This window comes from Homo sapiens, chromosome 13 (assembly GCF_000001405.40).
Source record: "Homo sapiens chromosome 13, GRCh38.p14 Primary Assembly".
Taxonomy (NCBI): domain Eukaryota; kingdom Metazoa; phylum Chordata; class Mammalia; order Primates; family Hominidae; genus Homo; species Homo sapiens.
The window spans coordinates 43,019,627-43,040,489 of NC_000013.11; the positions used below are offsets into that span (position 1 = coordinate 43,019,627).

The 20,863-nt window shown below is 41.6% G+C and overlaps 1 protein-coding gene across 1 annotated transcript in view, besides 4 other annotated features; it reads left to right on the plus strand.

Annotated features, from left to right (window-relative positions):
* Positions 3,779-3,838: an enhancer, noted in NCBI's record as "active region_7660". NCBI's record gives its function as "activates an Ori minimal core promoter by ATAC-STARR-seq in GM12878 lymphoblastoid cells {active_cell/tissue: GM12878}" and the evidence as "EXISTENCE:reporter gene assay evidence [ECO:0000049][PMID:35858748]".
* Positions 3,849-3,898: an enhancer, noted in NCBI's record as "active region_7661". NCBI's record gives its function as "activates an Ori minimal core promoter by ATAC-STARR-seq in GM12878 lymphoblastoid cells {active_cell/tissue: GM12878}" and the evidence as "EXISTENCE:reporter gene assay evidence [ECO:0000049][PMID:35858748]".
* The window catches only part of DNAJC15 (DnaJ heat shock protein family (Hsp40) member C15), a 90,628-nt gene continuing 73,724 nt past the window's right edge, over positions 3,960-20,863 (plus strand). The window contains exon 1 of the mRNA NM_013238.3: positions 3,960-4,108. Coding sequence (NP_037370.2) covers positions 4,001-4,108 — 108 coding nt within the window. The 5' untranslated portion in view covers positions 3,960-4,000. The remainder of the gene's footprint in view (positions 4,109-20,863) is intronic.
* Positions 4,409-4,458: an enhancer, noted in NCBI's record as "active region_7662". NCBI's record gives its function as "activates an Ori minimal core promoter by ATAC-STARR-seq in GM12878 lymphoblastoid cells {active_cell/tissue: GM12878}" and the evidence as "EXISTENCE:reporter gene assay evidence [ECO:0000049][PMID:35858748]".
* Positions 16,745-17,314: an enhancer, noted in NCBI's record as "H3K4me1 hESC enhancer chr13:43610507-43611076 (GRCh37/hg19 assembly coordinates)". NCBI's record gives its function as "activates a minimal SCP1, AML or CMV promoter by ChIP-STARR-seq in primed H9 embryonic stem cells {active_cell/tissue: H9 hESC(primed)}" and the evidence as "EXISTENCE:reporter gene assay evidence [ECO:0000049][PMID:30033119]".

Sequence of the window (20,863 nt, forward strand, 5' to 3'; positions counted from 1 at the left end):
CACTGAGATGTTTCGAAGACATACTACCAATGCAATCTGCCTTTCTTTTACAAAGTCTATTGAACATAATGTAATCTGTCTTTGAAGTGGCGTAACTAATAAAAGTAGGCCAATGAAAATTTAATGTGGCCTCCCTTTTGGGTTTCACAAAAATATTTTTCTTTGTTCTCAAGAAGCTAGAAAATTGAGTTTAACTAAATCAGGAAGAGATCCTTGTGGGGGAGAGGAAAGGACTTCATGGCCCTTTTTTCCATCCTTTCTTTGCTGAGGAGGGTGAATTTACCAAAGAACCAAAGGCTGGGAACTAAGTAATCTTTGTGGATGAGATTTTTCTTTAAAATTGGCTACATCTGCAAGAGCGGATGCCTGAGGCAGCAGTGGAATGAGGTCAGTCGAGTCTACAAGCAGCCAGCTATCTGATCTCAATAGTTTGGGGTCTGAGCTGACATGCAACCCTGCTGAGTCCACCTCACCTCCACCTTGCTATATTCTCCCCTTCCCACTTCTTCTATTCCCCCTTTTCCTGGCTTCTGCTCTGAAAGCTTCTCTCCAGTTCCTGAGCAGGGGCAGTAGCTGCCCTAACAGGAGCTGAAGCTAAGCTGGGTCTTGCTCTAATTGTTCATTTGTTTCAGGCCAGCAGCCTGTTACTGCTAGGGCTCAGCCACTAGAATACTCCAAACTCCAAGGAATCAGAGACCTTATTTGTATGTTTGACTGTATAGGTCCAATGCCTAGCATAGTTCTTCATATCTAACAGATACTCAATAAGTATTTACTGAATAAATAAATGAATGGAAGAATGACCTGTAGGCCTTGATCCAATTCATTTGCTTAGTTTACTAGTGTCCTTCATAGTCGTGGATCCGTTTAACAAAAATTAATTTCTGTAATGAGATTATTTCTGTGAAGAGTCCTGGAATATTTTTTACCCAGTCCTATAAATCAGTGTTTTTCATTTCCTTCCATTTGTTTCCAGTTGAAATTTCTGGCATTTCCTCTCTTCCATCTAAAGAAATGTTACCCATTCTTTACCTCATCTCAATGGCTAAGCCTTCACTAAACCTCTCTGATGACCCCTGTTAAAAGTGGCCATTCCCTCCTGTAAAGTCCAAGAGCACTATGGTTGTAATTCTTTTCATAAGTGCATTATACAAGTTGCTTCCATATCCTGTCGTTTTCTTTTTTATCCCTATGTAAATGAAAAGTTCTCTGAAAAGGAATTTAGAGGAGAGAGACTATCCCAATAAACAGTTTGCAAACCTGAGAGCCACAGATTTCAGTGTAAAAGGAAGGTTTGGCTCTATTTTAAGTTAGTCCTAGTTAGCCACTTGGGATCCATCTTGAAGGATTGGTTCTTTGAGGTTTATATTTGTTTGCACAACTTCCCTGAGTCAGAATGTTGGACAAATGTTATTCTCCTTTTACAGGTAATTTGGAGAGGTTAATGGATATGTTCAGTTATACAAGCCCAGAAAATAATGGAGGTACACTAGAACTCAGATGTCTTCCTTATTCCTGTAACCACCCAATGGGTTTACTTTGCTGGCTGTCTAGACAGAGCCAAATTTATAAAGACGGGGTAATTGCAATAGAGAAAGAGTAATTCATGCAGAGCTGACTGTGCAGGAGACTGGAGTTTCATTATTACTCAAATCAGTCTCCCAGAGCATTCAGGGATCAGAATTTTTTATTTATTTATTTATTATTATTATTTTTTTGAGACGGAGTCTCACTCTGTCCTCAGGCTGGAGTGCAGTGGCGCGATCTCTGCTCACTGCAACCTCTGCCTCCCAGGTTCAAGCGATTCTCCTGCCTCAGCCTCCCGAGTAGCTGGGACTACAGGCACCCACCACGCCCAGCTAATTTTTGTATTTTTAGTAGAGATGGGATTTCACCATGTTGGCCAGGATGGTCTCACTCTCTTGACCTCATGATGCACCCACCTTCGGCCTCCCAAAGTGCTGGGATTACAGGCATGAGCCACCGCGCCCAGCTGGGGATCAGAATTTTTAAGGACAACTCGGTGAGTAGGGGGAAGCCAGTGAGCTGGGAGTGCTGATTGGTCAGGTCAAAGATGAAATCACAGGGAGTCCAAGTTGTCTTGCGTTATCAGTTCCTGGGTGGGGGCCACGAGATCAGATGAGCCAGTTTATCGATCTGGGTGATGCCAGCTGATTCATCAAGTGCGGGGTCTGCAAAATATCTCAAGCACTGGTGGTAGTTTTTACAATAGTGATGTTAGCTCCAGCAGCAATTTGGGGAGGGTCAGAATCTTGTAGCCTCCAGCTGCATGACTCCTAAGTCATAATTTCTGATCTTGTGGCTAATTTGTTAGTCCTACAAAGGCAGTCTAGTCCCCAGGCAAGAAGGAGGTTTGTTTTGGGAAAGGGCTTTTATCATCTTTGTTTCAAACTATAAACTATGAATTACATTCCTCCCAAAGTTAGTTTGGCCTACGGCCAGGAATGTACAAGACAGCTTGGAGGTTAGAAGCAAGATGGTGTTGATTAGGTCAGATCTCTTTCTCAGTTGTAATTTTGCAATGGCGGTTTAATTCCCAGTCCAGTTCTCTTTATACTGCTATGCAATGCATGTGCTCATGTTCTGGTATGTACTATTATTCTGTGTCAGTGTTATCTTCCCTACAAGATTGTAAATTTCTAGGACCTAACTTCTTAGACATGCTAATAATATTAACTAAGTGAACAAATTAATAGACCCTCAAAACTTTAAATTCAGGAATAGAAAAAAAATAAAGCTTTTTCTTCCTGTCAGCTGATTTTGCAAAGGGTATAAGGAGCCAAAGAGCTGCCACGTTGGTACAGAAGTTGGAAAACACCATACGCTTCAACTGCTGGTTAATTTTTGCTCTAAAAACTTGATGGAGGCCAGGCGCGGTGACTCACGCCTGTAATCTCAGCACTTTGGGAGGCTGAAGCGGGCGGATCACCTGAGGTCAGGAGTTTGAGACCAGCCTGGCCAACATGGTGAAACCTCGTCTCTACTAAAAATACACAAATTAGCCAGGTGTGGTGGCACGTGCCTTTAATCCCAGGTACTCGGGAGGCAGAGGGTGCAGTGAGCCAGAGATTGCGCCACTGCACTCAGCCTGGGCAACAGAGCGAGACTCCATCTCAAAAAAAAAAAAAAGCTTAATAATAAAATGGGCTTTTATATATACAAATCAGCACAAACTCATTTGAGGGAGAGTAAGATTTACCTACTTGCTCACAACTTTTTTTCCCCTGCCTCAGGCTCCTGAGTAGCTGGGATTACAGGGACGCACCACCACACCCAGCTAATCTTTGTATTTTTAGTAGAGACGAGGTTTCACCATGTCGGCCAAGCTGGTGTGATCCACCCGCCTCGGTCTCCCAAAGTGCTGGGATTACAGCGTGAGCCACCGCACCCGGCCACAACTTTCTTCTGTGTAATTTCACCTTAAATACAGCCATTTACTTGGGGGTGGAGTAAGCAAATTGCCTCTTTAATTTCTCTCCCGGGGTGGTAGAACTGTGGCATTAAACAGAAGTGCGAACAGAAGTTGAGAGTGGGAAGAAAGGCTGCCCGGAAGGGGGTCAGGAAAGCTCAGGCAAGCCCACCCTCAGGCACTACAGCTAGACTCCGAGCTTACTGGGCAGTCATCTGATTCGACCAACATCAGTTCGCAGGGCTTAAGCCCAGTCCCTTACGGCGGCCTGGGGAGGGACCAGGCCCAAGTATATAAAGCTCCCTGAGGGTCCGCGTTGGCTTTGCGCCTGTGAGTGTGATTCAAGAACGTCCCAGTGCCCTTGGCTCCTTTCGGAGTGTGACCCCGTGCTTGCACGGGACACGTTACCCAGCTCGGGTGAGAAGGGTATCTTCCGGGAACCTCGCCTTTAATAGCACAACGAGCGCAGAGTCCACTGGATCTGCGAGAAGAAACCGCGCTAACTAGTTTGTCCCTACGGCCGCCTCGTAGTCACTGCCGCGGCGCCTTGAGTCTCCGGGCCGCCTTGCCATGGCTGCCCGTGGTGTCATCGCTCCAGTTGGCGAGAGTTTGCGCTACGCTGAGTACTTGCAGCCCTCGGCCAAACGGCCAGACGCCGACGTCGACCAGCAGAGACTGGTGAGTCCTGCCAGCGGCCCCCACCCCTCTCTGGCTCCCTTGTAGTTTCTGCTTCAGCCCCCTCTACCGCCTCACCCTTGAACCTTTGTACTCCCCCGCATTCGCTCACGGTCTGTGCCCTAGCGCTCACTTGTTCAGTGGAGAGACCGCTTTGTGCTGGGCTTTGACGCCTGGGCGTGGAAGACGGAGCAGTTCTGAGGATCTGTCTCCTCAAGGAGCTTCCAGTCTTGTCTGGGACACAAACCAGAAAACAGGCAATTGCAAATACAGTAAAATAAGTGCTGTATGTGGATTTTCCTATCTCATAGGAGGCCCTAAAAACGTCTTGCAGGGGACGTGGTGGGATCAGGGACGCTTCTTGGAGAAAGCTGTAGTTAAAAATTAAGATCTGAATGAATAAAAACAGTCCATTCAGCAAGGAGAAGGGGAAAAAGTGTTTCGGGTACCAGGACTACTGTCTCCAAAGTCTCCGGCACAGAAACAGGGCCCAGTTGGAAACTCCAAGTGGTGTATTCAGGATGAACTGTAGAGCTGGAAAAAGGAAGGGTCTAACAGAAAACTGTCCAACAGAAGCATATTGTGAGCCACATACGTATTTTTACGTTTTTTTTTTTTTTTTTTTTTTTTGAGACGGAGTCTCGCTCTGTCGCCCAGGCTGGAGTGCAGTGGCGCGATCTCGGCTCACTGCAAGCTCCGCCTCCCGGTTTCAGGCCATTCTCCTGCCTCAGCCTCCCAAGTAGCTGGGACTACAGGCGCCTGCCACCACTCCCGGCTAATTTTTTGTATTTTTAGTAGAGACGGGGGTTTCACCGTGTTAGCCAGGATGGTCTCGATCTGCTTACCTCGTGATCCGCCCGCCTCGGCCTCCCAAAGTGCTGGGATTACAGGCGTGAGCCACCGCGTCCGGCATATTTTTAAGTTTTTTGTAGCCATATTAAACAACTGAAGAGAAACAGGTGGGTTTGATTTTAACCATGTATTTTCTTTAACCTGATATATGCACAGTTGCATGGTAATTTTCAACATTCAATATGAAATATTGCCCAAGTGGTGGTTTAGGCTTGTAATCCCAGCGCTTTAGGAAGCCCAGGCAGGAGGATCACTTGAGGCCATGAGTTTGGAGGACAGCCTGGGCAACACAGGAGACCCCATCTCTGCTAAAAAAAAAAAAAAAAAATTAGCTGGGTGTGGTGGTGTGAGCCTGTAGTCCTAGCTGCTTGGGAGGCTGGGTCGGGAGAATCACTTGAGCCCAGGAGTTGAGGTTATAGTGAGCTATGATTTCGCCACTGCACTCCAGCCTGAGAGACAGAGCTAGACCCTGTCTCCAACAAAGAAAAAAAAATGAGGCAGTAGAGATTTAGAAAGTTTTAAGTAACTGGTCCAGGATCATCCCTGGTAAGTGGCAGATCTACGATTCCAAATGCTACACTTTTTCCCTTATGACTTGCTGACTCCTTAGAAATAAGGATTTCTGGATATAGTATTCAGTGTATGATACAGCTGAACAAGATCAGGCAGAAGTAATCCTTTTGTGGAGAGTCGTAAAAATCCGAGTATCAGGCTTTCAAGGTAGTTGGGAGCTGTGGTAATTGGAAGATAGAACTAATATTGGTGACTTTTACATGTGTAGGTATTTTTACTTGGAAGAGGAGAGAGTTTACAGAATCCAGAGTACCACATAGGAAGCATCTTTAGTAGTCCAGGTACTTGAAGGCTAAAGTGTAGGCCAGTGATTCTCAAACTGTCTGTGTCCTGTAATATCCTGAAATCCTGAAGTCAGATTCATAGACAATAAAATCTACCTGTAAACATAACTTTTAATAATCAATATAATGCTTTAATTGAGACATAAAGGTGAAATATTTTATTAGACAATAACATGTCTACAGGCTGCGAGCGGTGTCTCGCTCCTATAATCCCAGCAATTTGGGAGGCTGAGGTGGGTGGATCACTTGAGTCAGGGGTTCGAGACCAGCCTGGCCAACAGGGCAAAACCGTGTCTCTACTAAAAATACAAAAATTAGCTGGGCATGGTAGCACAAGTCTGTAATTCCAGCTAGTAGGGAGGCTGAGGCAGAAGAATTGCTTGAACCCAGGGGGCAGAGGTTGCAGTGAGCGGAGATCATGCCACTGCACTCCAGCCTGGGCGACAGAGCGAGACTTTGTCTCAAAAAAAAGAAAATAACATGTTAACATGTCTACAATTTAAATATGTAAATACTTAGACATTACTACATTAGAAAACATAATGAAGTAATTATTAGTTGCTGTCATATTACACCAATTTGTAGAATCACTGTGTATGTGACAGCTACCAATGCAAATTGTTTATCAAATGTATTATATTGGCTTTTCAAGTAGCAGAAGGACCATTGTTCTTTACAAACTTATTTCTCCTAAATGGTGAACAATTTCTGGTAAAAACTTGAACAAAACAGTGGAATCTCCCTCAATTTACATGGCACTTGCACTTATGGAAGATTCAGTCTGTACTAAAACAGTGTAATAATGATATATTTATATATAATGAAGTTCTGGACTAAGATTATCATAAACTTTTCACCTACTTAATCTTTTAAAATTGAGGGATGCAAACAGTTTTTTGTTACACAGGCTTGTCTCATATATTTTAGGACTTCTACGATCAATGGTCCCCCATCCACCAAATACCCTCCCTTCTATTCAAATTATTGTGCAACCAAACAGGGCCTCACGTACTTTCAGAATGTCCCTAAGGGGTTGTTCTGCTTCTTTTGGGAGTTGTTGGTCCAGGCAATGACCAATAATGAGGCAGAAGATTGTTGATAATAACTTTAGGGAACTTGGAAGTACTGAAAGCAATGAGAAGCTGACAAAAGGTAAATATTAGGAAAGAAAAAAAAATGGCCTAGGTGTAGGGCATATTTGGAAATCTTATGGAAAATAGAAAATAATGTTTGTCAATGAGTTAAAGAAAAACTTTCACACTGTATTTTAAAAATGTAATTCATTTTAAGGTTTATGAAATATATCTTGTTGGGCTGGACATGGTGGCTCATGCCTGTAATTCTAGCAATTTGGAAGGTCAGGTGGGAGAATTACTTGAGCCCAGGGGTTCAAGACCCAGGGTGGGCAACATAGTGAGACCCCTGTCTTTCTAAAAGAAAAATCAAAAAGAAATAAATATATCTTGTCATATTTGTTAAATAACTTTTTCTTAGGTAAGCTTCTCTTTTGAAACTAAGAACTAATGTTCATTAGCCTGCTTAGGAGATTAAAATAATTTTTAAAAATAGGCAAAATATGTAGCATCTTGAATAAAGTTAGCATTTTACAATTAATGGTTTAATAGAAGTCATAATCAAACTTTGCACTAGCAAAGCTGTTTCTCATGGAAAAGTAGAAAAGAAACTTTAAGAGATTATTATCAAATTTTAAAGCAGTTTGAACAAAACTCAGTTTGTATGAAACGGTAGTCATTTAGTTTCCATTACTTTCCTGAAAACTGTAACTCTTACTTTTATTTTTCTTCAATTTTTATTTTAAGTTCCGGGGTACATGTGCTAGATGTGCAGGTTTGTTACACAGGTAAATGTGTGCCGTGGTGGTTTGCTGCACAGATTGTCTCATCACCTAGGTATTAAGCCCAGCATGCATTAGCTATTCTTCCTGATGCTCTCCCTCCTCCCACCCCCACAACTCTTGTTATTATTAGGATAGTGTAACATGTAAAAAAAACTAGACACATATATGTTTCATTATAAACAATCCTGATACGTGAAAACTAAAACCTGTCAAACTAATTTTCAGGCATTTATTCATTTCCAAAAATAAGACAGTACTTTTACTATTTTGCAATGATAACATGATTTAAAACATGTTTTAACAATACTTTGAAGCTTACATTGGTAATCACATGGATTATGTACTGTATACCCATATTTTTAACTTTTTTTTTTTTGAGATGGAGTCTTGCTCTGTTGCCCAGGCTGGAATGCAATGGCGGGATCTCGGCTCACTGCAGCCTCTGCCTCACAGGTTCACCTGAGTCTCCTGCCTCAGCCTCCCAAGTAGCTGGGACCACAGGCGCCTGCCACCACGCCCAGCTAATTTTTGTATTTTCAGTAGAGATAGGGTTTCCCCATGTCAGCCAGGCTGGTCTCAAACTCCTGACCTCAAGCGATCCACCCTCCTCAACCTCCCGAAGTGCTGGGATTTCAGGGGTGAGCCACCGCACCCGGCCTAACTGATTCTTTCCCACTGTTTTTTACACCATAATGGGAGGCTAGAATGTTAAGTTTCATGGACAGGGACTTTATTTGTTCTCTGGTATGTATTTCTAGCATTTATAATGGTGCCTGATGTGTGGTAAACATTCCAAAAAGAAATTGTTGAATGAATGAATGTTATTCTTGAATGGGAAGAAATGAGAAGAACTTTTCTTTCAGTGAATGGAGTAAGAATTTCCAGATGTCTACCAGTGAGTACCATACACAAAAATAGAAAATTCAGCTTATTTAAAATGTAGCTCATTATAGTCTTCCCTGAACATGCTGATTCTCCTCTTCTTTCCCCCTTTCTTGACTAGTGCCATCATGTGCACTTTCTCCTTTACCTCCACCATTCAGTTCATGAGTCACTTAGCCTCATCTCTGTAATTTTTTTCATGGTATTCCTTCCCTTGCTATTTTCTTAGTCTTTATTGTTTCTCCTCTGGCCTGTAGTGATCGCCTTTAAAAACAAGTCTCTTTGCTTCTGGTATTGTATCCTTTCTAAACTTCACACTGCCATCAGTTATTTTTCTACAACACAGACTTGTTAATGACACCATCCCTTTTTATGAGTTTAACATGATCTAAACCTTTCTTAGGATCTTACACAGGACTCTTCATGTACTGATCCTTAAATGACATATCCAGCCACATTTCACATCCCCTACATTGCACTGTACCCTGTACTATAGTTACATTAAGTTTCCTTCATGAAATTTTATGGTTCTGTGACTTTACTAGAGCTTTCTCTTCTGAAATTCTTTTCCTGGCTAACTCCTATTCATTTTTTTTTTAAAGACACATCCAGTGTGAAGCCTTCCCTGACCCCAGTTCCCTTTGCCTAGTAGGAGAAAATTGTTTTATACTGTGTGTTTCCTTAGGAAGTTGCACAAGTTTTTATTATAGTTTATTAAGATACATCAAAATTATTTATATTTGTATAAGCACCTATGGTGTGAAGTCCTCAGGGAAGACACTTGTATCTGTATCTGTGATTGGCATTGTAATTGGCACATGATAGCCATTTAATTATTTGTCTATGAAATAGCTATTAACTTCTATTATTATTGAGCAACTTAATAAATAAACATGGATATTTGATTTTAATATCATTGACACCTGTATTTTTTCCTTGTAGGGTCCTCTTATATGTTAGCCTCTAAGGGAGAGCAAGAGTCTGTGTCTCTCTTGCTCACTGCTTTTTCCCCAGAACTTAGCATAAGTCCTGGCACATGCCAAATAAATGTTTATATATTTATATGGTAAAAGTTAAATAAGTATTTGTTGAATGAGTGAATAGTCTACGTCTTTCCTCTCTCCATCACAACTACCACCCCTCTTGTGAGGAGGAAGAATACTTTTTTTCTTCTTCATTTCCCTCTGGTACAACTCTTGTTTTTCTTGGACTGAAATGTTCAGTCTCAAAATAGAAATTTTAGCATTTTATAACACTTTCAGGCAACTTATATTTATCTAAAAAGTTATTTACTGCCTATGTTGTTTAGGGAGAATAAAATGCCATAGGGAATTTGTAAACAATTTTGGTGCCTTTTTTTTTTTCCCCAGCTGTAGCAGCTATGATGGAGTGATCTTTTTTCCCAGTTTTCAGAAATTTTTTGATTCATGGTAGTGGAACATTTATAGTAATTTTTCTGTTTTTTTAATTGTTGCTGTTGTTATTTTGGTTTTTTTAGTGGATATTTGAAACCAGGTAGTGGTAACAGATACCTGACATGGCCCATTTGTTGATCTGCTGGCATTATTTAAATAATGTTTCTTCTCTTTGAAATATGCCTTTTTAACTAAAATTAGATATTCTTTATAGATGGGGATGAAGTTTTAAGAATACTCGTTCTCTCAGTTCCCAACATAGTACCAGGCACATGGTTGCTCTGCCTCATAAATTTTTGTTGAATCATTAAATTAACAAATGAATGAAACCAACAGGCTTGGAGATAAGTAGATTAGGGAAATGTTATAGAATGATGAACGGACAGCCTTCAGGAATTAAAAAAAGAATAAGATAAATGAGACTATGCCTCTTTGACTTTTGTAATAGTCAGGAGAGGCCTAAAATGTCAGTATCTAATAAATATGTGTATAATCAGAGTACGTATAATACTCTGACTTCTGATGTGCTTTTTCAAGTTTTGATCATTGCTTATTAATATCTCCAATAACACAGGCAGTCTCCAACTTAGAAATAGGTTCTGTTTTTAAAATTTGTCAATTAAATTCATTTTAATAGATTTTTGGGTAACACCAAATATATGGAAGCTATAAACTAAGTGTGTATAGGGAGGGTATAAATAAACCAAGATTGCCACCCTCAAGGGCAGAGGATAGCAAACTTAATTTGTAAAGGGTTAGATAGTAACCATTTCAGGCTCTGCAGACCATATAGCATCTGGCACACATTTACCTGTGTAACAAACCTGCACATCTAGCTGCAACTACACTGTTGTAGACTGAACACATAGACAATAAATAAATGTGGCTATTTATGAAAACAGTTGCTCTAGGAGGCAAATTTGGAGCAAATTTAAATGCCCAATTAAAGACAGTTTCTCTAAGTGCTATCATATTTTTGTTCATTTATTTATTCATCCATTTAACACTTTATTTATGGAGTCGTACATTATTAGGTAAGGTTCTGAGTCTAAGTGCTATAGTGGATACAAAGATGAATCAAATACGCATTTTTTCCTCAAGGGACTTGACCAGAAACTAAACCTAGACTCTCAGACTGGGAACTCCCCAGCAGTGGAGATCCTGCCTGATTCACTTTTGAGAATGACTTCTAGGGCCAAGCACAGCACGGGGTAGGTTGCAGATACTTAGTAAATGTCTTTTCAAGGGTAAGGGAATGAAAGACTAAGGCATAGGTGTCATAAGAGAAATATATGGATAAAATGCTTGATTTCGTAGGAATGAGCCATTGTTTCTTATTTGGGAAATCAGAGAAAACTGTGAAAAGTGAGTTGAATGAGTAGAACATTGAGAAAAGGGAAGAATGTGAGCTAAGTTAAAAAGATAAAATCTTAGGCAGAGGTAGCAAATTCAGATGCTTAAAGGGGGCAGTCACGTGGCACAAATGAGTGAGGGGATGACTGGGTTAAATGGTGTTGCATTATGTGAGTGATGATTATAGCAAAATGAGAGAGCACTTGCTTTTCTAAAGGAGGCAGATCATTGGAATAAACCATTATTACCAGATGTTTGATTTTTCGAAAGAAACCAGAAAGAGATAAATAAGTTTTTCTAAAATGTGGGTTATATCAAGGAAGAAAAATAGGGAAAGGTAGGTTGGGTTAACAACTGTAGATAGCTCCAAATGGCGGGTTAAGGAATGTGTGGACTAAATTTGTAGGCAGTTAATTTTGTAGGAGTTGTGTGATCAGTGGAGGCCTTCAGGAGAATCAAGCCCAGAGCAGTGTTTAAGAAGGGTAGAAACTAAACCTAGACTCCTAGACTGGGAACTCCTCAGCAGCGGAGATCCTGTAGAAGAGGACAAGCCTAGTTGAAAATGCGTTACAGTGGGCAGTACTTTGGGAGTGTAGAGGAGGAGATGATGGCAGCAATAAGAGTGATGATAGCTGAACTGTTTTGTGCCAGGCTTTATGCTAATGTTTTAAATGCATGAACTCATTTAGTCTATATAATAATCCTAGCAGGTATAGATCCTGCTAATATTATAACCCTCTACTTGTAGATGAATAAATTGAGGCTTAAAGCACTGAAATAATTTGTGCAAAGTCACACATTTGAGAAGTAGATGAATCCCAGAGGTACTCTGCTTTGTTGCCTCTGTGCTCTTATTCAGAATATTCTCTTTGTTTCTCTTTCCCCTTCAACTTCTTAAATTATGTCACGGTCTAACTAGGAAAACATATAACTTAAATAATATAAAACAAGGGAAATGTAATTCAAGGAATTGGCTTCATAGCTAGTGGAGTTGTTGAGAAATGAAACTAGGATGGTGAAGCAATCCAGAGATTGGGAACAGCAAGGAACCACTAGCACTCCTAGAGCTGTAGGGCCAAAGGGAGGAGTTGGTGTTTTTCAAAACCACTCTACATTAATTGGAACCACGGATGTCTGTTCAGGGGGAGCTGGAGCCACTGCTGCTGCTGGAGCAGTTGCTAAAGACGGAGAGGAAGGGGCGGTAATACCGTGGTTTCTTCCTTGTTTTCACTGTCCAGTCTTTCACCATTGCATCCCATTGGTCTGACTCTACTGGGACCAGCTGACACAAGAGCCTGTAGGACTTAGCTCTTCTAACAGAACAGAGAATAGCCCAGGAATTGATTGGTGAATGCATATGGGCCTGCGACCAACACATTATCTGTTTTCAGCTGTAATTTGAATTCCACTGATAATAAGAAATTTGAAAGCACAGTCTCCTAAAAGCAGTGTTAGAAAACACTTTTTGAAATGCTAAGTATTCCCTTAATCCACAGTGTAAGGGTAACAGTATTATTTTGTGGAATTCCATTTACACTGTCTTATGTCCTTGGAATATCATTTCCATGCTATTGGAGATAAAATAAGTACTGTTGCCAAGTGTGGTGGCTCACGCTTGTAATCCTGGCACTTTGGGAGGCCAAGGTGAGCACATCACTTGAGGCCAGGAGTTCAAGACTAGCCTGGTCAATATGGCGAAACCCCACCTTTACTAAAAAATACAAAAATTAGCTGGGTGTGATGGTGCACACCTGTAGTCCCAGCTACTCGGGAGGCTGAGGCAGGAGAATACCTTGAACCCGGGAGGTGGAGGCTACAGTGAACCCAGATCACACCACTGCACTGTAGCCTGGGTGACAGAGCAAGACTCTGTCTCAACAACAACAAAAAGAAGTAAGTACTGTTAGCTTATAAAGAAAAGAGGTTTAATTGGCTCACGATTCCATAGGCTGTACAGGAAGCATGATGCTGGCATCTGCTCAGTGTCTGGAGAGACCTTGCAAAACTTACAATCATGGCAGAAGACAGAGTGGGAGCCACCACTTCACATGGCCAGAGCGGGAGGAAGACAGAGACAGGGAGGTGCTGCATACCCCCAGAAAACCAGATCTTGCAAGAACTCACTATCACAGGAATAGCACCAAGGGGATGGCGCTAAACCACCCATGAGAAATTGCCGCCATGACCCAATCACCTCCCACCAGGCCCCACCTCCCACATTGGGGATTACAATTGAAAGTGAGATTTGCTGAGGGACACAGATCTGAACCATATCAAGACAATATAGTGAGACCCCATTTCTACAGAAAACTTAAAAAATTAGTCACTTGTGGTGGCACATGCCAGTAGTCTTTGTTTCTTGTGAGGCTGAGGTGGTAGGATCAGTTGAGCCCAGGAGTTAAAGGTTACAGTGAATTACGATCATACCACTGCACTACAGCCTGGGTGACAGAGTGAGACCCTACTGGAAAAAAAAAATAAACCAATATTGATCCATTATTATTAACCCAAGTCATATTTTATTCAGATTCCCATACTTTTTAGCTGATGTCCTTTTTCTGTTCCAAGATCCCAACCAGGTACCACATTACATTTAGTTTTCGTGTCTGTTTTGGCTGCTTGTGGCTGTGACAGTTTTTCAGACTTGCTTTATTTTTGATGACCTTGACAGGTTTGAGGCTTACTGGTTAGGTATTTTGTGGGATAGTCTCTACTGGAATTTCTTAGGTGTTTTTCTCATGATTATACTGGGGTTTTAGGTTTTTGGAAGGAAGATCAATCAGAAAGGTGAAGTGCCAGGCTGGGTGCAGTGGCTCATGCCTGTAATCCCAGCACTTTGGGAGGCCAAGGTGGGTAGATAACTTGAGGTCTGGAGTTTGAGACCAGCCTGGTCAACATGGCAAAACCCGTCTCTACTAAAAATACAAAAATTAGCCGGGCATGGTAGCAGGTGCCTATAATCCCAGCTACTTGGGAGGCTGAGGCAGGAGAATTGCTTGATCCTGGGAGGCGGAGGTTGCAGTGACCCGAGATCATGTTATTGCGCTCCAGCCTGGGCGACAAGAGTAAAACTTCATCTCAAAAAAAAAAAAAAAAGAAAATGACTTGCCAGTTTCATCACATCATATGAAGTGTACATACTATAAACATGTTTGTTGCAATTGATGTTGATCTAATCTGATGCGGCAGTATTTGTGAGTTTTCTTAACTGTAAACTTTATTTGCATACTGCACTTTTTGAAAGAAAGTCACTTTGTGCAGCCCACATTTAAGGAGTAGAGAGTTATGCTCTCCACTCCTTAAATGTAGAGTAATCTGTCAGATTATTTGGAATTCTTCTGTATGGGAGATTTGTCCTTTTTTTTTTTTTTTTTTTTTTTTTTTTGAGACAGAGTCTCGCTGTGTCGCCCAGACTGGAGTGCAGTGGCGCGATCTCGGCTCACTTCAAGCTCTGCCTCCCGGGTTCACGCCATTCTCCCGCCTCAGCCTCCTGAGTAGCTGGGACTACAGGTGCCCACCACCGCGCCCGGCTAATTTTTTGAATTTTTAGTAGAGACGGGGTTTCCCCGTGTTAGCCAGGATGGTCTTGTTCTCCTGACCTAGTGATCCGCCCGCCTCGGCCTCCCAAAGTGCTAGGATTACAGGCGTGAGCCACCGCACCCAGCCGAGATTGTCCTTTTACTCCCATTTATTACTTATTTATATTAGTTTGGTTTCATGGATAGTAATTTTATGCTTTGGATTATAATCCACTACCACATTTATTTTGTTGTTCAAGCTGTTTTATCTTTGGCCATTGGGATCTCTTTCAGTTGACTCTTGTGTACCTTTGACATACCCCCAACGTTGTGGGGGTTTTTTTGAGCACTTCCTTGCTTTCTGGCACTACATGGTGCTCTAGGCTCATTTTGTGTATTTCCTGCCCCAGTCCCAAAATCAGGCATTTCTCCAATGAGTTCTGTGTATATAACATTTTATCTCATGGGGAGCTTCATTCTGGGTCATAACTTCAGATCCTAATCCATTTTTATCCTCCCACCCTCATCCATTTTTATCCTCCCACCCAAATGTTCCCCAATTCCTTTATCTTTTCCCTATATAGCTGATGAGGTAAGAGCAAAAGATATCCTTGTCTTGGTACACGTGGCTGCTGCTTTCAGTCCATCAAGGACAGTAGAATTTTTCCCTGAAGCTTCAGTAAAGCGCTTTTGTGTTTGTTTAGTTTGGGCTTTATTTTTGTTTTTCAATATCTGGTGTTAGGGACTGCTAATGGAGGGAGGGTGCTAGGGATTGTGAAAGGAATTAGAGAGAGAGAAAGAGACTCATTAACCTTTCTGCCATTTGTCATTGTATTTCAAGTTTGTTATAGAATCTTAGTACAGGTCAAGTGAACAGTAAAGAACCTGTCTCTGGGTATAAGGTTAAATATTGCATATTCATTCCTCTAAAGGACTGAATATGGTCTTCAAGAGAATGATTTTCACTTCTTTTGGAATACCTAGAATTTAACAATCACCACCACACTGAAAAAATAGTTTTTGTATAGTAGGCATTAGAACTGAAGAGAACTAAACCAAGGGAGAAAAGAATGGTACTTTAAATAGCACTTTCCTCCCCAAATAATGCCTAGCTGCAGTGATGTTAAAGTTTAATTCAAGGACTTCATTACTATAAGTACTTAAGAGATTTCTATATTTTTATGTGGTTTTTGAATAATTTCTGTATTGATTTGTAAGTAACTTTTTTCAAAGTACCAATTTATTTTTTAATTTTAATATTTTATTTCTTTTGAGACAGGATCTTGCTCTGTCTCCCAGGCTGGTGTACAGTGGCGTGATCATAGCTCACTGCAGTCTCAATTTCCCAGGCTGAAGTGATCCTCCCACTTCAGCTTCCCAAGGAGCTGGGACCACAGGAGTGTGCCATCATGCCTGGCTAAATTTTTATTTTTATATTTGGTAGAGATGGGGGTCTTGCTATGTTGCCGAGGCTGGTCTTGAACTCCTGGGCTCAAGGGATTCTCCCACCTCTGCTTCTCAAAGTGCTGGGATTACATGTGTAAGCCACTGTGCCCAGTCCAAAGTACCAATTTAATTTTACATTTTAAAAATTGGATTCTAAAAGTCTGCCTTCTTATCTGAACACTATTTTTCAGATTCCATTTTATTTTGTTACTTTTTTAAATTGTGATTGGACAAAATGTTTTTCAGTTTCTGTCTTTTTTTTTTTTTTTTTTTGAGACAGGGTCTCACTGTCATCCAGGCTGGAGTGCAGTGATGCAATCTCAGCTCACTGCACCTTCCACCTTCCAGGCTCAAGCAGTCCTCCGACCTCAGCTTCCCAAGTAGCTGGGACTACGGGTCGCACCACCACACCCAGTGCAGCCCTCAACAGAGAGGAGACTGGAGTGGGTAGCTCCTATCTGCAGGCAGGTCATCCTGATAAGGGTGTCTGGCTAAGTCTGCAGGTTTTTATGTGCTCAGAATGGAGGAAGTGCATGTTGATTGGTTGATGGGTGGCTGGCCATGGGCAGGCCTGGAAAAAGCACCATCCAATTGGCCGATTGGTCATCAATGAACTTCATACTCCTGTTGGTGGACTTCATCCAGAACTGGCAGCCTGGCCCCTAGGCTTCAGGCCAGTCCTAGCTTGAAGGAGGGGTTCTGCCAGGGACCCACCCTTTCCTGCCCAGGAAACTTTCAACCTCTTGCTGCCACCAACATGACCTCCACAGCACCCTGGCTCTAGAGGCTGCGGGGAGCCCACAGGCCCATGCCAAGCTACTACCCTCAGCCCCTTGGCTGGACCTCCCTCCTGGGCTTGTGCCCAAAGTCTAGAGGGGGCTGAAGTGGCAGGGGGCTGGCATGTCATCACCGCTCTTAGTGCATGCACACCCGGCTGGGTTGAGACAGTGCCTCAGCTTAGCCACAACTTTGCCCCACCCTGGAGTGGATGCCGTGAGTCGGGAGAGGCCAGGCAGTGGGAGCAGGCATTTCTAAGCCTGTAGGGGCAGGGGACTTCCTGGGCCCCTGAGAGTGCGGTTGGGCGGCTGCAGCTGCTCCTGGGAGCACTGGCTCCTACCCTGCCAAGCTGATAGGTGGCTGGCCTCCTGCCTGTTCCCAGCTCCCGGCAGCTCTGCTGAATGTCCAGCCCCCATGGTGCCTCCCGCTCTGCAGCCAACATCCTTGTGGGGGCCGCTCCAGACGGGCCGTAGCAGCCACTGCCTTAAAGTAAAATCGGTTGCTGTAAGGGAGTAAAAGTAGCTTTCATTAAAGGGGATGATTTCCCAAGCAAGAAGAAATAAGCAAAACTACAAAATGTTGCAGATAAGGTGTACATCAGATATAAGCCGAAAAAGAGAGTTTGAGGGGTTCTTGCTGGAGACTTCAAAGTCAGTATGATAAAAGCTTGGAGTACTTGATAGGAAGGAGGCCAACTAGAGATGCAGTGGGATCATTTTTATGATCAGGGTGCAGATTTAAGTGCAAGGATAAAAAGGGAGACACCGAAGATCAATGTAGTTATTCTTGAAGAATGTAAGGAAGAATTCATTTTTAAAGTTTATTTTAAAGTAGACAGGTCAGAGGGTTTTCTGCCTTCTGATGTTAAAACATGTTAAACCCATCTCACCAGGTGAGATCTTCCTTTTTCTTTTTTTAATAACCTTTATTTTTACCTCCTGATTTTAAAAAGACGATTATGTAATGTTATATAGTAATTGTAATAGCTACCATTTGTTGAATGTTTATCCCATGTTAAATATACTAGTTTATATATATGAATGCCCTAACTTAAAAAAATTCTTATCAACCCAAGGAATTAGGTGCAGTCATCATCCTCATTTTACAGATGAAGGAACACATGGAGGTCATGTAACTTGGGCAGGTCATGGAGCTGACAAGTAAGGAGCCAAAACTCAAACCATATTTCTTTGATTCTAAAGTCTAATGATCCCAAGACTACGTTTTAATGAAAATATTCTTTTTTATAGCCTGCTTTTATTCTGTACTTAACATGTGGTTGCTAAACATTCCTCAATAATATATTTAATTGTTGATCCATATTTTACATGTGCCTTAATTTATTTAATGATTCCCCCATTGTTGGGTAGTCAGATTGTTTCCATTTTTTTGTATTACAAATAAAACACAGTGATGAATTTTCTCTTAAATGTTTTTATGGATTTTTCTGATTATTTTCTTCGGATAAATTTTTTGAATCTTAGTTACTAAGCCTAAAGACATTAGTATATTTAAGGTTGTTGATTCCTGTGATGAAAGTAACCTCAAGACACATTGTCCCAATTTGCATTCCTAGCATCAGCCATCAGTTCAGGAGATTGTTCATTGAACCATTCTTTTGACAATTTGTAAGACTTTGATTTGTTGGCCAAAATGTATACCTCTCATGATTAACAGGCTGCGTACTGGAGGTATGACAGATTGTCACATGGCCCCATCCAGAGGAAAAGCTGAAAGAGGGACTAGTAATGCCAGTTTCATACTTATCAAACGATTCCATTTTTGTATTAAACATAGGAGTATTAAAAATACGACTGGGGAGGCCAGGTGCGGTGGCTCATGCCTGTAATCCCAGCACTTTGGGAGGCCAAGGCGGGCAGATCACGAGGTCAGGAGATCGAGACCATCCTGGCTAACACAGTGAAACTCTGTCTCTACTAAAAATACAAAAAATTAGCCAGGCTTGGTGGCTGGCTCCTGTAGTACCAGCTACTCGGGAAGCTGAGGCAGGAGAATGGCATGAACCCGGGAGGCAGAGCTTGCAGTGAGCTGAGATTGCAGCACTGCACTCCAGCATGGGCGACAAAGCGAGACTCTGTCTCAAAAAATAGGAAAAAAAAAAAAAAAAAAGGAAAATACCACTGGGGGAAGGGAGACCAAAGAAAATTTCATGAAATAAAGAATTAAGGACACCAAGGACTGGTGCTAGGATCTAGCTTGATGTTAGATAATAAAAATGACACTGTATTCTCTAGAAAATTTAAAAACCTACCTAGTAATAAGTTGTAGAAGACTTTATATGTTTTTTGTGAATGGGCAGATAGGGGTGTTTTGTTGAGTGTGAGCTCACACTGGAAAAAATCTTGAGTAATTTTTATAATCCATTAAAGGTAATGTGAGAGTGACTTCAGATTGTTGCTTGAAGGCATAAGCTCTGGTCTGGAATTAGGATACCTGGGCTCTAGTCCAGTGTAGAATTGTTGCTGCAATTTGCAAGTCATGTAACTTCTCGGGCCCTCAGTGTCTTCCTCATAAAATGTGGGTTTTGGCTAATGTTCTCTGTCATTTTTTTCAACTCTATGATTCCGTGACATTGACTTAATTTATTATTACAGTCAGAAATGTCAACAAAACATTCGTGGAAACTATTGAAAATGGAACAGAAACATCTTTTTGTATAAAATTATAGTGTTTCTATAGAAGTCTGTGTGTGCCTTTGCATGTACCTTTCCATGCAATCAAACAGAAATGAAAAGTTTCCAGAAAAGGTCAACAAGTAAATTTACTGAGGGGAGAAGTGTGTGATTGAGTGTCTAGGAGTCTCAGGGGGTGGAGACACCAAGGGAAGGCTAATTTGAAGACATAGGCAAAATAGTTCAGAACTTAATTCAGGACTTTAGAAATTCATTGGCCAAAAAATTCTAATAAAATTTCAGTACAATAATAAAATGATAAAAGCTGTTGGTTGGGTGAAAAAGGCCCTTTCCTTCAAATGTTAGAAAACAAAACTAAGGATACTATTTAAACTTGAAAGAGATAAATTTGGCTGGGCATGGTGGCTCATGCCTGTAATCCCAGCACTTTGGGAGGCTGAGGCAGGGGGATCACCTGAAGTCAGGAGTTCAAAATGACCAGCCTGGCCAATATGGTGGAACCTCATCTCTACTAAAAATACAAAAGTTAGCCAGGCGTGGTGGCGTGTACCTGTAGTCCCATTTACTCGGGAAGCTGAGACAGGAGAATTGGTTGTACACGGGAAGTGGAGGTTGCAATGAGCTGAGGTCACACCACTGCGCTCCATCCTGGGCAAAAGAGTGAGACTCTGTCTCAAAAGAGAGAGAGAGAAAAAGAAATATATACATTTAGGACTAGTGAATTAAATAGCAGGGATGAGCAAGTTAAAGAATCTCACTCCTAGACCCAAATGAACCTTGAGCTGCCTAGAAGACTGAACCTTTGAGAGCAGCTGTATCTGAAGCTTCAGGCCAAAGAACAGTTCTCAGAAGTTGCATTACTAGACTTGACATGTGCCAGCCATCAAGACCCACAAAGCAAAGATATAGAGCCTGCTGTAGTTCTTTCTTCCTAACAAATTCGTTTCAAATGCTGAAGGTTTTAAAATATTTTTTCTGGCTTAATTTTCTAACTAGAATTTGGTTTTGGCTTTGAAATTTTTGTCTCTTTTTGACTTACCTGTTTATCTGTGGGGGTAATAATCTGTTACCTGGTTATCATCTTGAAGTGACCCCATAATGTTAAGTAGATGGAAGTTGACTTTACATTTTACAAGTTGTCTGGTC